This window comes from Homo sapiens, chromosome 19, assembly GCF_000001405.40.
Source record: "Homo sapiens chromosome 19, GRCh38.p14 Primary Assembly".
Lineage (NCBI taxonomy): Eukaryota > Metazoa > Chordata > Mammalia > Primates > Hominidae > Homo > Homo sapiens.
In genome coordinates this window covers 52,823,066-52,837,643 of record NC_000019.10, presented here as the reverse complement: position 1 = coordinate 52,837,643, position 14,578 = coordinate 52,823,066, and the positions used below count along the sequence as shown (strand labels likewise).

General features: G+C 45.4%; 1 protein-coding gene across 1 annotated transcript in view; it reads left to right on the top strand.

The window, feature by feature from the left end:
* Positions 1-3,998: 3,998 nt before the first annotated feature.
* ZNF600 (zinc finger protein 600) overlaps positions 3,999-14,578 on the top strand; it is a 69,482-nt gene continuing 58,902 nt past the window's right edge. Inside the window, exon 1 of the mRNA XM_047438291.1 lies at positions 3,999-4,098. Within this exon, the coding sequence (XP_047294247.1) occupies positions 4,036-4,098 (63 nt within the window). The 5' untranslated portion in view covers positions 3,999-4,035. The remainder of the gene's footprint in view (positions 4,099-14,578) is intronic.

Below are 14,578 nucleotides of genomic sequence, written 5' to 3'. Positions count from 1 at the left end.
ACTCCAGCATGGGTGACAGAGACAGACAGTGTCTCAAAAAATGAATATGGTGAAATTTGGGTAGAGGAACAATGAAATCATTAATGCTTTATGAAAAGGTTATGGGGGCGATGCCCCAAAGAAATCACTGTTTTGTAAATGCATAAGTCATTTTAAGTTGGGACAAGACAATGTTGACTAAAATGTAGGAATTAGCTTGGTGTGGCGAGTGCCTGTAACACAGCTACTCGGGAGGCTGGTAGAAGAATGGCTTTCATTTTGGAAGCAGAGGTTGCAGTGAGCCGAGATCGCACAACTGCAGTCCAGCTGGGCCACAGCAAGACTCTGTCTCAAATAAAATAAAAAAAATAAAATAAATAAAATACTGCTTCTCAAAAAAGCTTTGATATAATCTTATGAGGTAACATCATTGTTTTGCAACTATAATATGTGTTCAAAATATTCTTCTATGACCCCACATTTCATTAGATATATTTTTTAACCATTTTAAAACTGTTTTTCTCTGAAATTTATTGTGTTCAGTTTACATTGAGGACGGCATGCTTTCTAGTCTGTATCATACATTGGAAACATTTTCTGGTACCTGATAAATGATTTTAGTTTGTTTCAATGTGTACTTGATAAAGATATCAAGGAACTTTTTCTTTATGCTAACATCAAAATTTAGTTGAAGTAGCCTATTATTCCATTTTCTTTCTTTATGTCACCTGATAAAATGGTGAGCTGTGAGCTGCTAAGTAAACGTTCCCCTCAAGTTCCTCTGGTCCATAATATTTTTTGCAGATGTTCAAGGATGGGCAGAATTGACTTGGAACCTTGTTCCAGCAAAGCCCGTGTGTTCAAGAAGAAAACATTTGTTCAGATCTCATTTGTAATGCTGCTTCTCTTTCAGTGTTTTAAACACCTATAGCTAGGGGTTCACAGTTGTGTGTATTTTGAATGTACTACTGTCATTTTTCTGGGAAAATAATTACATGTTTAGGATTCATGCCATCAGGACCTTAGACATTGAAAGAGACATTTCATTTGCTCAGGTGTATAAAATTGTCCTGGAATGTTTTTTTTTCTTTCTTTTTTTGAGACAGGGTGTCACTCGGTCACCCATACTTGCATGCAGTGACACGATCTTGGCTTAACGCAACCTCTGCCTCCCAGGCCCAAATATCCACCCCAGTCAGTTCTTAAATGGCTGAGACCACAGATGCACACCACCACGCCTGGCTAATTTTTTGTACTTTTGGTGAAGTATCTCCTGCTCGAAACAACAGTGACTCAACCAGTAATGTACAGGTGAGGAATGAGACCAGAAAAGCTCAGTCAGAGTGACACTGACCCCTGAAATACTTTGTCAAATAGTTTGTGGCTTTTCCTTTAGGAGAGGGTGATGCTCAGGTGTAATTTGAATTTTTAATAGATTCCTGTCCTACAAAAATGTAAAAAACAAAAATACCGGAATGGAAAAAACAAGAGATTTGACTCAAATTGTCTTGAACCTATTCTTGTCTCTGTCCACACCCACTGCTTTTCCTTATCTCATCTCACAGCTTTAACCCACCTACCCATGTCCCCTGCAGGCCTCTCCACTGAGCTCTACAATCCTGTGTGCAGTTGTCTGCTCACCTCTCTGCTGGGACATCAAACAGGCATCTCCACCTTCACATGTCCAAAAGTGACTTCCTAAACCCCCAAACACATTCCCTTGCAGTCTGCACATCTCAGATGAGGGTGACTGTGTACGTCCGGAAACTTAGCCGAACTTGACAGCATGTATTTTAAATATGGGAAATAAATTACTTTATTTGTAAGTGTTGTAATTTGTAATGTAAAGAGAAATTTGCATGTATACATGAAAGGACTGAGAAGATACATCACTTCTGAAATTCTTTCTTTGTGTGTGTGTTGGAGTTTGGCTCTTCTCGCCCAGGCTGTAGTGCAGGGCTTTATCTCTGTGGGTGGAGGATCACCCAGCTGCTGAGGCAAGAGACTGAAGGCACAAACTGTTTCAGTATAATAGAGAAAATAGTTAGAATAAGAATAGTCATAATACAAATTAGATATAGAGATGATCATGGACAATTATCAATCATTATTATAAACATTATTAATCATTAGCTTTTAATATTACTCTTTGTTGCATTACTAATATAACCTAGGAATAACCGGCAGGTATAGGGTCAGGTGCTGAAGGGACATGGTGAGAAGTGACCTAGAAGGCAAGAGGTGAGGCCTCTGTCACGCCCGCATAAGGGCCGCTTGAGGGGTCCTTGGTCAAGCGGTAACGCCAGTGTCTGGGAAGGCACCTGTTACTTAGCTGACCACGAAAGGGGGTCTCCTTTCCTTGGAGGAGTCAGGGAACACTCTGCTCCACCAGCTTCTCGTGGAAGGCTGGATAGTATCCAGGCCTGCCCGCAGTCATCCGGAGGCCTAAACCCCTCCCTGTGGTGCTGTGCTTCAATGGTCATGCTCCTTGTCCACTTTCATGCTCCTCCCGTACTCCTGGCTCCTCTTTGAAGTTCGTAGTAGATAGCGGTAGAAGGAATAGTGAAAGTCTTGAAGTCTTTGATCTTTCTTATAAGTGCATAGAAGAAAACGCTGACGTATGCTGCCTTCTCTCTCTGCTTCGGCTACCTAAGAGGGAAGGGCCCCCTGTCCTGTGATCACATGATTTGCTTCACCTTATCAATCACTTAGAAGATTCACCCTCCTTACCCTGCCCCCTTGTCTTGTATGCAATAAATATCGGCGCGCCCAGCCATTTGGGGCCACTGCTGGTCTCCACGTCTTGATGGTAGTGGTCCCCCGGGCCCAGCTGTTTTCTCTTTATCTCTTTGTCTTCTGTCTTTATTTATTACAATCTCTTGTCTCTGCACATGGGGAGAACACCCACTAAGCCCCAAAGGGCTGGACCCTATAGATCTCGATTCACTGCAACCTCCTTCTCCCAGGTTCAAGCAGGGAGGTGACTTCCAGGTCACAGATAAATGAGGCACAGATGGTTGCAATCTTTTAAGTTTTTGTTTTGTTTTGTTTTGTTTTTTTGAGATGAAGTCTCATTTTGTTGCCCAGGCTGGAGTGCAGTGGTATGATCTCAGCTCACTGCATCAGCCTCCCACAGTGCTGGGATTACAGGCATGAGCCACTGTGCTGGGCCCTTCTTTTGAGTTTCTGATTAGCCTTTTGAAGGAGGCACTCAGACATGCATCTATATCAGGGAGCAGAGGGGTGACTTTGAATAGAAGGGGAGTCTGGTTCCCTAAGCAGTTCCCAGCTTGACTTTTGCCTTTTGCTTAATGATTTGGGGGCTCACAGATTTATTTCCTTTCACACAGCCCATCATTCACCCCACCTCTCGTCCACGTTGCCTGTTCTGTGTGATTATTTTTGTGCCTTTGTCATCCACTGTCTGGATCCTGGTGAGAACAAGGCCCCAAGGGGAGGGCAGAGCCAGAATGTGGGGCTGTGCTGGGCTCACCCCCTCTGAGTGGAGCTCAACCCTGGCTTCACATTAGAGTCTAGAGGCATTTTGCAAATAGAGCTTTTGTGCTGCTTTAGCAGGGATTCTTATTCTGATGGGATGGAACCCACCCTCAGTAATACCTGCAGTGGCGCAGTTGCTTGTCATCTGTGTGCAGCATTGAGCATCGAAGCTCTGAGTCCTCCATTTCTGGGGGCTGAGCTCAGCCTGTGATCCACAGAGAAGTGAGGGGTTGTCCTCTGGATGGGGTTTGATCAGGGATGAGTGTGTGCCCTGAAGAGGAGATCAGTCCAGCCCAGCTCCCCACTGCTGCCTCGTGTGTGGTGGCTTCTCCAGGAGGGGGGCGAGATCTGAAGACTGGGGTCAAACATACACTTGTAGGTCTTCCGGTGGGACTTTCTTATCTCTGCATGATCTCTGGTGCAGTGGGCCTCAGAGGACCATCTTTCTACAGGGTGACATCTCCCCTGTCTGTGTGTTTTTGTCACAGGAAGGGAGTGAGTCATTTCTACGTGAAGTTTCATACTTTTTTCACGTACAGGATTGATTTCTAAAGACTCATGTTACATGAGGAAGCAGCTCAGAAGAGGAAAGGAAAGGAGCCAGGCATGGCTCTTCCTCAGGTGAAGTGATATTCCTCTTTGGATTAATCTGTCTCTTTCCTTTCTGAAACACCAGGTATTTAGTAGCCAGTCATTTCTGAGTCTGAAGCATTTTGCCTGACAGGTTCACTCACACTCACCCATGCCTGCCCTCAGTTCCTCTCACCTGCTCTGAGATTCCATCTCCTGTGACCCAGTGACATGAACTTGAGAAGAGGTTCCACTGGGCATGGTCCTGGGAAGGCCTCACACCTAGACATGGATGGACACAGGGTGTGGGCCCCATGGTGTCAGTGCTGCTGGGCAACCTGGATTGTTCAAGGGTCATGTCTGGATGTCAGCTCTTCGTGGACCAGATCAGAGAAACTACATATGAAATACATACATTAATGTGCACAGATATCTGGTAAATTCTGGAAAAGGAGACCAATAAGGGGAGACATTTTGTATCCAATTTCTTAATGCATTTGAAGGCACACTAGTAGACAGGATGTTGGTCTGGGTGTGGTGGCTTATGCCTGTAATCCCAGCACTTTGGGAGCCAAGGCAGGTGGATCACTTGAGGTCAGGAGTTTGAGACCAGCCTGGCCCATGTGGTAAAACCTCATCTCTAATAAAAATACAAAAATTAGCTGGAAGTCGTGGCTCATGCCTGTAATCTCAGCCACTCAGGAGGCTGAGGCAGGAGAATCACTTGAATCCGGGAGGTGGAGGTTACAGTAAGCCAAGATTGTGCCACTGCACTCCAGCCTAGGCAACAGGGCAAGACTCCATCTCAAAAGAAAAAAAAGGAGAGAGAGAGAGAAAATGTCGCTCTGTAGCTTAGTTCTGGAGTACAATGGCACAATTTAGAGTTTACAGCAGCCTGAAACTCCTTGGCTCAAGTAATCCCCACTTCAGCCTCCCAAAGAGCTTGAATGATAGGCATGTGTCACCACAAGCGGCTAATTGTTTTATTTATTTATTTATTTTGAGATGGAGTCTCGCTCTATTGCCCAAGCTGGAGTGCAGTGATGGGATCTCAGCTGACTGCAACATCTGCCTCCTGGGTTCAAGCAATTCTTCTGCCTTAGCCTCCCGAGTGGCTGGGATTACAGGCATGTGCCACCTTGCCTGACTAATTTTTCTGTATTCTTAGTAGAGATGAGATTTCACCATATTGGTCAGGCTGGTCAGGAACTCCTGACCTTGTGTTTTTTCACCTTAGCCTCCCAAAGTGCTGGGATTACAAGCCTGAGCCACCGTGCCCGGCCTGTCTCTGCAGTTTTAATGACTCGGAAAGGAATGGAAAGTGAAGATACACATCAGTGGTACAGGATGCTTTATCACATCATTGATTTTACTTATTTTTTTGTTAGTTCAGTTTCAATCTGTCACTCAGGCTGGAGTGCAGTAGTGAGATATTTTCTCACTGTAGCCTCCGCTTCCTGGATTACAGCGATTCTTTTGCCTGAGCCTCTCGAGTAGCTGGGATTACACTGTGATGTGATGTGTGTGCATGAATACGTGGATGGATAAGCCCATGGTTTATGTAGAAAACACAACATTTGCATTGTTTTATTTTTTATAATAATTGTAATGATTTTAAGATTTTTCATTGTTGTCAACTATCACAATAATGAGTTAATAGTAAGAAGGGGCTGGGCATGGTGGCTTATGCCTGTAATCCCAGCACTTTGGGAGGCTGAGTCGGGTGCTCAGGAGTTCAAGACCAGCCTGACCAAAATGGGGAAACCCTGTATCTACTAAAAATACAAAATTTAGGATGGGAGCAGTGGCACATGCCTGTAATCCCAGCACTTTGGGAGGCCGAGGTGGGCAGATCATGAGGTCGGGAGATCGAGACCATCCTGGCTAACACGGTGAAACCCCATCTCTAATAAAAATACAAAAAAAATTAGCTGGGCGTGGTGGCGGGCACCTGTAGTCCCAGCTACTTGGGAGGCTGAGGCAGGAGAGTGGCGTGAATCTGGGAGGTGGAGCTTGCAGTGAGCCGAGATCGCACCATTGCACTCCAGCCTGGGAGACAGACCAAGACTCTGTCTCAAAAAAAAACAAAAAAACAAAAAAACAAAAATAAATACAAACTTTTAGCCAGGCCTGGTGGCAGGCGCCTGTTATCCCAGCTACTCGGGAGGCTGAGGCAAGAGAATTGCTTAAACCTGGGTGGCAGGGGTTGCAGTGAGCCGAGATCACACCACTGCACTCCAGCCTGAGCAATAGAGTGACACTCCATCTCAAAAAAAGAGAAAACAGAAAAAACCTGTCATTATTATTATGATTGTTATTACAGGCATGAGCCACTGCGCTCAGTCTGTCTCTGTTTCCACAGACACATCTCTACCTACTCAGCCAGGGAATTCTTCACATCCATGGTCTCCTTCATTGCTGCACTCCTCGTAGACTTTACTCATTTTGTGTGTGTGTATGAAATTCTGGAATCTATACAAGGCATATTGTTGAGTATATGCTTGAAACTAGGTATCAGAGGCCATTTAATTTAAGAGACGTAAAACTGCTTTCACCTCAGGTCACCATACTGCTGCTTTTTTGGATCTCGTTCATTCTTGTCCCTTGCCTGTATTGTAATTTGCATATTTAAGCTTGGGTCAATGTTTTACCATTTGCTAAATTAGTTCCACTTTCCTCCGAGCTCAAGATTTGGTCTATCCTGGTGGAATTATATTCCCACAGATGTGCATGCACAAAGTTCACTCCTACATGCCCATTACTTCCTGCTCTCCACCCTTGCCCTTCCTTTCCTGGCCTTGCCTCACATGATACATTGATCTGGATGCAAATACCAGCCTATTGACTTTGTAAAAGTGAACACCCCAATTTCCCCGTGAGCCCCTCCCCTCCAACACTACTCTCCCTGAGTAAGTCAAGACCTTATTCATCCACTGGACAAAATTATAGGAGGCTGCTTAAATCAGTGTGTGCAGGGCATCATGACTCAGCACATGATCCATGAGGGATGGCTTCAGAACCACTGTCAGCAGCGCAGCTCAGCGCTTGTGTCCCAGCTCAGTCCTTGTATCCCCCTTGATGTACTTCTTTCTGTTCTCCTTGTATTTTTTGTGACTGGTTGTTTTCTGTACTTTCTTGGTGGACTATTGTGCTTAGAAACATGTCGTGGGATCCTTCAGGCCCAGGATCAAGTTTGTCCCTCACTTACTGTATGTGCAAATTGGGGTCATGTACGTGAACACTGTGGGCCTGCTGTACTTATTTGAGAACTTATTTGAGAAATAATGTTAATTTTTCTCCAGATTTTTTGTTTGTTTGTTTTTTGAGATGGAGTTTCGCTCTTGTTGCCCACGCTGGACTGCAGTGGTGCAACCTCAGCTCACTCCAGCCTCTGCCCGCAGGTTCAAGCTATTCTCCTGCCTGAGGCTCCCAAGTAGCTGGGATTACAGGCATGCACCAACACACCCAGCTAATTTTGTATTTGAAGTAGAGACGGGGTTTTTCCATGTCAGTCAGACTGCTCTCAAACTCCCAACTTCAGGTGATCCACCCACTGCGGTCTTCCAAAGTGTTGGGATTACAAGCATGAGCCACCGTTCCCAGCTGCCTCCAGGTTTTTAAACAAGTTAGTGCTATTAGATGGCTTCACACATTGCAGCTTTTATATGACAGGCTGTAAACTGCCTTTGTGTAATAAGAGTTGTCAGCCTTCAGCGATGTTGATGATGACATGCTCCTTTTCCTGTCTCCGTCATTTCACTGTCCTGTCAGAAACAGCTTAGACTGGCTGGCCATGGTGGCTCACACCTCTAATCCCAGCACTTTGGGAGGCTGAGGGGGGTAGATCGCTTGAGGCGAGGAGTTTGAGACCAGTCAGTCCAACATGGTGAATCCTCGAATCTACTGAACACAAAACAATGGATGGCCGGGTGCGGTGGCTCAAGCCTGTAATCCCAGTACTTTGGGCGGCCGAGACGGGCAGATCACCTGAGGTCAGGAGTTCGAGACCAGCCTGGCCAACATGGTAAAACCCCATCTCTACTACAAATACAAAATTAGCTGAGTGTGGTGGCACATGCCTGAAATCCCAGCTACACAGGAGGCTGAGACAGGAGAATCACTTGAACCCAGGAGGCAGAGGTTACAGTGAGCCAAGATCAGGCCATTGCACTCTAGCCTGGGCAATAAGAGTGAAACTCTTTCTCAAAAATAAAGAAAAAAATAGGGGGGAGGGGGGAGGGATAGCATTGGGAGAGATACCTAATGCTAGATGACGAGTTAGTGGGTGCAGCGCACCAGCATGGCACATGTATACATATGTAACTAACCTGCACAATGTGCACATGTACCCTAAAACTTAAAGTAAAATAAAATAAAATAAAATAAAATAAAATAAAATAAAATAAAATAAAAAAAGAAAAAAATAAAAATAAGGCTGAGTGAGGTGGCTCACGCCTGTGATCCCAGCACTTTGGGAGGCCGAGGCGGGTGAATCACAAGGTCAGGAGATGAAGACCATCCTGGCTGGCATGGTGAAACCCCATCTCTACTAAAAATACAGAAACAAAATTAGCCAGGCGTGGTGGCAGGCGCCTGTGTTCCCAGCTACTCGGGAGTCTGAGGCAGGAGAATGGCGTGAATCTGGGAGGCAGAGCTTGCATTCAGCCGAGATCCTGCCACAGCATTCCAGCCTGGGTGACAGGGGGAGACCCCGTCTCAAAAAAATAAATAAAGAAATAAAAATAAAAATAAAGGCACTGGTCTTATTCATGAGTAGTCAACACCCATGATCAAATTATCTGAAAGGCCGAATCTGCAGGAACATCCTATTGGAGAATAAGAACTCTGAACATGGCTTTTGGCCAATACAAACATTCAGACCAGGGAGCCTGCATCATTTTTTTAATGTTTTTGTTGTACAATTTGTTTTATACAATGTTTTCTCTGATCCCAGTTTATCAATTTTCCCAGTACACATTCTATGTTTTATATCTTATGCATGGTGAACTAGATAACTAAGGGAAATGCGTATATATAGAATTGCTGTATGGCCTGGCTGTTATTTAACTGTAGTTGTAACATCGTAATTGAGCCCTCTGACACTGTTAGTCATTTCTTCTTTTCTTTTTTGAGAGAAAGTCTCTCCCTGTTACCCAGGCTGGAGTGCAATTGCATGATCTCGGCTCAGCGCAACTTCTGCCTCCCGGGTTCAAATGGCACTTCACTTGTTAATGTCACAAAGTGCCACCGGGTGCAGTGCCTCATGCCTGTAATCCTAGGACTTTGGGGGGTTGAGGTGGGTGGATCACTTGAGGTCAGGAGTTCGAGACCAGCCTGGCCTACATGGTGAAACCTTATCTCTACTAAAAATGCAACAATTAGCCATGCATGGTGGAGCATGCCTGTAATCCCAGCTACTCAGGAGGCTGAGGCAGGAGAATTGCTGGAACTCAGGAGGCGGAGGTTGCATTTAGGTGAGATCGCGCCATTTTACTCCAGCCTGGGTGACAGAGCAAGACTTTGTCTCAAAAAAATAAAAATACAGAAAATTAAAAAAAATCACAAAGTGCCTGTTTTGCATGGATATACTTGATATTCCTTGTGGATTATCCTGTCTCCTTTCTTTCTGAAAAGCCAGGTATTACAGTAGCCAGTCTTTTCTGAGTCTGAAGCGTCCTGCGTGACACGTTTGCTCGCACTCACCCATGCCTTCTGTCATTCCCTCTCATCTTCGCTTAAATTCCATCTTCTAGGCCGGGCGCGGTGGCTCACGCCTGTTATCCCAGCACTTTGGGAGGCTGAGGCGGGTGGATCATGAGGTCAGGAGATCGAGACCATCCTGGCTAACATGGTGAAACCCTGTCTCTACTAAAAATACAAAAAAATTAGCCAGGCGTGGTGGCGGGTGCCTGTAGTCCCAGCTACTCGGGAGGCTGAGGCAGAAAAATGGCATGAACCTGGGAGGCGGAACTTGCAGTGAGCAGACACCGCAAGACTCCATCTCAAAAAAAAAAAAAAATCCTTCTTCTATAACTCAGTGACGTGAATTTCCATAGAGGCTGCACTGGGCATGGTCTTGGGAAGGGCTCACACCAGACATGGATGGAGATGGGGTATGGGCCCCATGGTGTCAGTGCTGCGGGGCAGCTGGGATTGTTCAGGCACCACATTTGGATGCACGTTTAGCTCTTTGTGGACTGGATCCCAGAAACTACATATGAAAGCCATACATTAATGTGCACTGATATCTTGTGCATTCTGGAAAGGAGACCAATAAAGGGAGATATTTTGTTTCTGATTTTGTAATGCATTTGAAGCCAATTTTCTTTTTTTCTTTTTTTTTTTTTGTTTTTAGAGACAGGGTTTTGCTCTATGGCCCAGTCTGGAGTGCAATGGTACAATTCTAGTTTATAGCAGCCTCGAACTCCTGGTCTCAAGTGATCCACACATTACCCTCCCAAGGAGCTAGGATGACAGGCATGTGTCACCATATCTGGCTAAGTCTTTCATTTTTTATTATGTGGCTATGGGATCTTGCTATTTTGTCCAGGCAGGAGTACGGTGGTATAGTCAAAGCTCACTATAGCTTTGAGCTCCTGGCCTCAAGTGATCTTCCCATTTCAGCCTCCCATTTCAGCCTCCCAAATTGCTGAGATAACAGATATGAGACAGCCAGCCTGGCTGGACTCTGCACTTTTTTTTCTTTTTTAGGTGGGTGAGAATGGAGTCTTGCTCTGTCGCCAGGCTGGATGGCAGTGGCACAATATCTGTCAGCTCACTGCACCCTCCACCTCCTGGGTTCAAGCAGTTCTCCTGGCTCAGCCTCCCAAGTAGCTGGGACTACAGGTGTGCACCACCAGGCCCAGCTGAGTTTTTGTTTGTTTGTTTTTTGAGATGGAGCCTCATTCTGTCACCCAGGCTGGAGTGCATTGGTGTGGTCTCGGCTCACTGCAACCTCTGCCTCCCGGGTTCAAGCAATTCTCCTACCTCAACCTTCTGAGTAGCTGGGACTACAGGCATGCACCATCACACCCAGCTAATATTTGTATTTTTAGTAGAGATGGGGTTTTGCCTTGTTGGCCAGGCTGCTTTCAAAATCCTGACCTCATGATCTTTCCACCTCATCCTCCCAAAGTGCTGGGATTACAGGTGTGAGCCAGCCCACCCAGCGCTAAGTTTTGTACTTTTAGTAGAAACAGGGTTTCACCACATTGGTCAGGCTGGTCTCAGACCTCTGAACTCAGGTGATCCATCCATCTTGGACTCCCAAAATGCTGGGATTACAAGCATTTGCCGCAATTCCCAGTTTTGACTCTGCACTTTTAATGACTTAGAATGGAATGGAAAGTGGAGGTAACATCAGTGGTAGAGGATAATTTGTTCTATTATTGCTTTTAAAACAAGAAATCGGCCTCCCAAAGTGCTAGGATTACAGGCGTTGAGCAACCACTCCCGGACAAAGAAAGTTCACTTAGGCATCCCCTTTCCTGTCCAGCCTTCCACCAGTTCCCTTGGCTCAATGGGGAATCACTGCTGAGAGTACTGTGGCAAGTCAGCGTAAGTCCTACAGAAATGTATTCAGACACCATTATGAGATTTTAGATAAAATTATTTGATGAATGTGCCTGTCACCCAGACTGGAGCGCAGTGGCGCAATCTTGCCTCACTGCAGACTCTTTCCTCCAGGTTCAAGTGATTCTTGTGCCTCAGCCTCCTGAATACCTGGGACTAAAGGTGTGTGCCACTATGCCTGGATAAGTTTTTTGTATTTTTAATAGAGATGGAGTTTCACCATGTTGGCCAGGGTGGTCTGGCACTCCTGGCTTCTAGTGATCCATCCCCCTCAGCCTCCCGAAGTGCTGGGATTACAGGCATGAGCCACTGTGCCCGGCCAAATGATTTTTTTGTTGTTGTTTTTTGTTTTGTATGTTTTGTGAGACCGGTGTCTCACCCTGTCAACAGGCTGGAACTTACTAGCACATTGCAACCTCTGCTTCATGGGTTCAAATGATTCTCTAGCCTCAGCCAACTGAGTAGCTGTGTTACAGGTATGTGCCATCATGCTTGGCTAATTGTTATATTTTTAGTAGAGATGGAGTTTCTCCATATTGGCCAGGCTGGTCTTAGACTCCTGGCCTCAAGTGATCCTCCCTCCTCGGCCTCCCAAGTACTGGGATTACATGCGTGAGCCACTGAGCTCAACATGATAAATGTTTTGTTGTGGTATTTTATCCTGCAAGTCTTAAAATATTCCATGTTTTCAAGGTAGGAAGCAAGATAGCTTACTGTTTTTCATTCTCCTTGGAGCATTTTCTGAATGAAGACACGTGAGTCCTTCCCAGTTTGTCACTGTTACCAAGAATGCCACACTGGCTGCCTGTGAGTGTGCTGACTTCGCTACATGTATCTGGAGGGTTCCTGCAGGAGGGGCTATTGAGAAACTGATTGCTTCTTCTAGGACGTGGCATTTCCTCATTTCTTAGATCTGGGAAGATTCCATCCCTACCCCCAGGTGTAAAAGCGCCCTCTCTGAGAACATGAGAGAGCACCATGTGCCCTGCAGCCTCTGCATTTCAGGCTCAAGCAATCCTCCCATCTCAGCCTCCCAAGTAGCTGGAACTACAGGTGTGCACCACCGTGTCCAGCTAATTTTTGTATTTTTGGTAGAAACATGGTTTCAACATGTTGCCCAGGCTTATTTTGAATTTTTAGTCCCGTTATTTCTAAGTCTCTGTTTTATAAATTTGTGTATAATTTCTTGGGATCATCCACGTTATCTCTTTGTATATCTGGTTATGTTCTGTTGGAACTTCAGCAGTTCAGAAATCAGCCAGCTTTCACGGTTTTTGGTGTCTGACTTCAGTGAGGAAGAACACTCTCCAATCAGACTGGCTAGAGATTCCTGAGACCTCTCCAGATTTTTCTTTATTTTCGTCTTTAAAGTTAGTTATTTCTTTTTTTTGAGATGGAGTCTCTCTATGTCACCCAGGCTGGAGTGCAGTGGCACAATCTCAGCTCACTGCAACCTCTGCCTCCCAGGTTCAATTGATTCTTCTGTCTCATCCTCTTGAGTATCTGGGACTACAGGCGCGCACCACCACACCTCGCTAATTTTTGTATCTTTAGTAGAGATGGGGTTTTACCCTGTTGGCCAGGCTGGTTTCACAGTCCTGACCTCAGGTGATCTGCCCACCTCGGCCACCCAAAGTGCCGGGATTGCAGGCATGAGCCACCGCGACCAGTCATGGATAGCTTTAAATCAACAAAGTAATAAGTTGTGTTAGACTGTCAGCCAACCGGCAGGTAGACATATCTTTGTATTTACCTGGATGCCTATGTAAGAAAAACTTAAAGAGGAGGCATTTCCTTTGTTTTTGAGGACACCCTACTGTGGAACTGGTAATGTGTTTTTTTTGTTTTTTGTTTTGTTTTGTTTTATTTTGTTTTGAGACGGAGTCTCACTCAGGCATGAGCCACTGCGCCGGCCATATTTATTATTATTATTATTATTATTATTTATTTTTTGTTTTTGAGACGGAGTTTCACTGTTGTTGCCTGGGCTGGAGTGCAATGGCGTGATCTTGGCTCACCACAACCTCCGTGTCTCCTGGGCTCAAGCGATTCACCTCCCTCAGCCTCCCGAGTAGCTGGGAATAGAGGCACATGCCAACAGGCCAGGCTAATTTTTGTATTTATAGGAGAGATGGGGTTTCTCCATATTGGTCAGGCCGGTCTCCAACTTCCGACCTCAGGCCATCTGTCCTCCTCGGCCTTCCAAAACGCTGGGATTACAGGCTTGAACCACCGCGCCTGGCCTGAAGTGGTATTTTTTAGAAAGTAACTAAGCCTTTTTTCAGTTTAATGACCCAAGGATGTATTTCTGAAGGTCTTGGGAACGATCCTTGTAAGGCAAACTACAAGGGCGATAGTACCTATATCTCAGTAGGAAGTTAAATAATTCAAACATCAAATATTTCAAATTTAAAGCTACGGACATTTAAATAATTCTGAGCTTTGAGAGGAACGTGGTCATGCAACCTGAGTCCAGTGGTGTGCAGGCGCAACTTCTAAGAGTTTTACTGGCCAGGTGCGGTGGCGCACGCCTGTAGTCTCAGCACTTTGGGAGGCTAAGGTGGGTGGATCACTTGAGGTCAGGAATTAGAAACCAGCCTGGCCAACATGGTGAAACCCCGTGTCTACTGAAAATACAAAAGCATTAGCCAGGCATGGTGGCGTGTGCCTGTAATCCCAGCTACTCAGGAGGCTGAGGCAGGAGAGCTGCTTGAACCCGGGAGATGGAGGTCACAGTGAGCCAAGATTGCACCACTGCACTCCAGCCTGGGCAACAGAGCAAGACTCCGTACCAAAAACCAAACCAAAACAAAACAAAACAAAAAGTGCAATAAAATTTAGTTTCCTAATATAAATTTTAAAAAAAGTTTACCTGTAAATAATTAGGAAGACTAACCTGTTGGCATCATTGTCCCTTCTTATGGAGTGATAAAGTAACCTTCCTTGAAGTGTATCAATC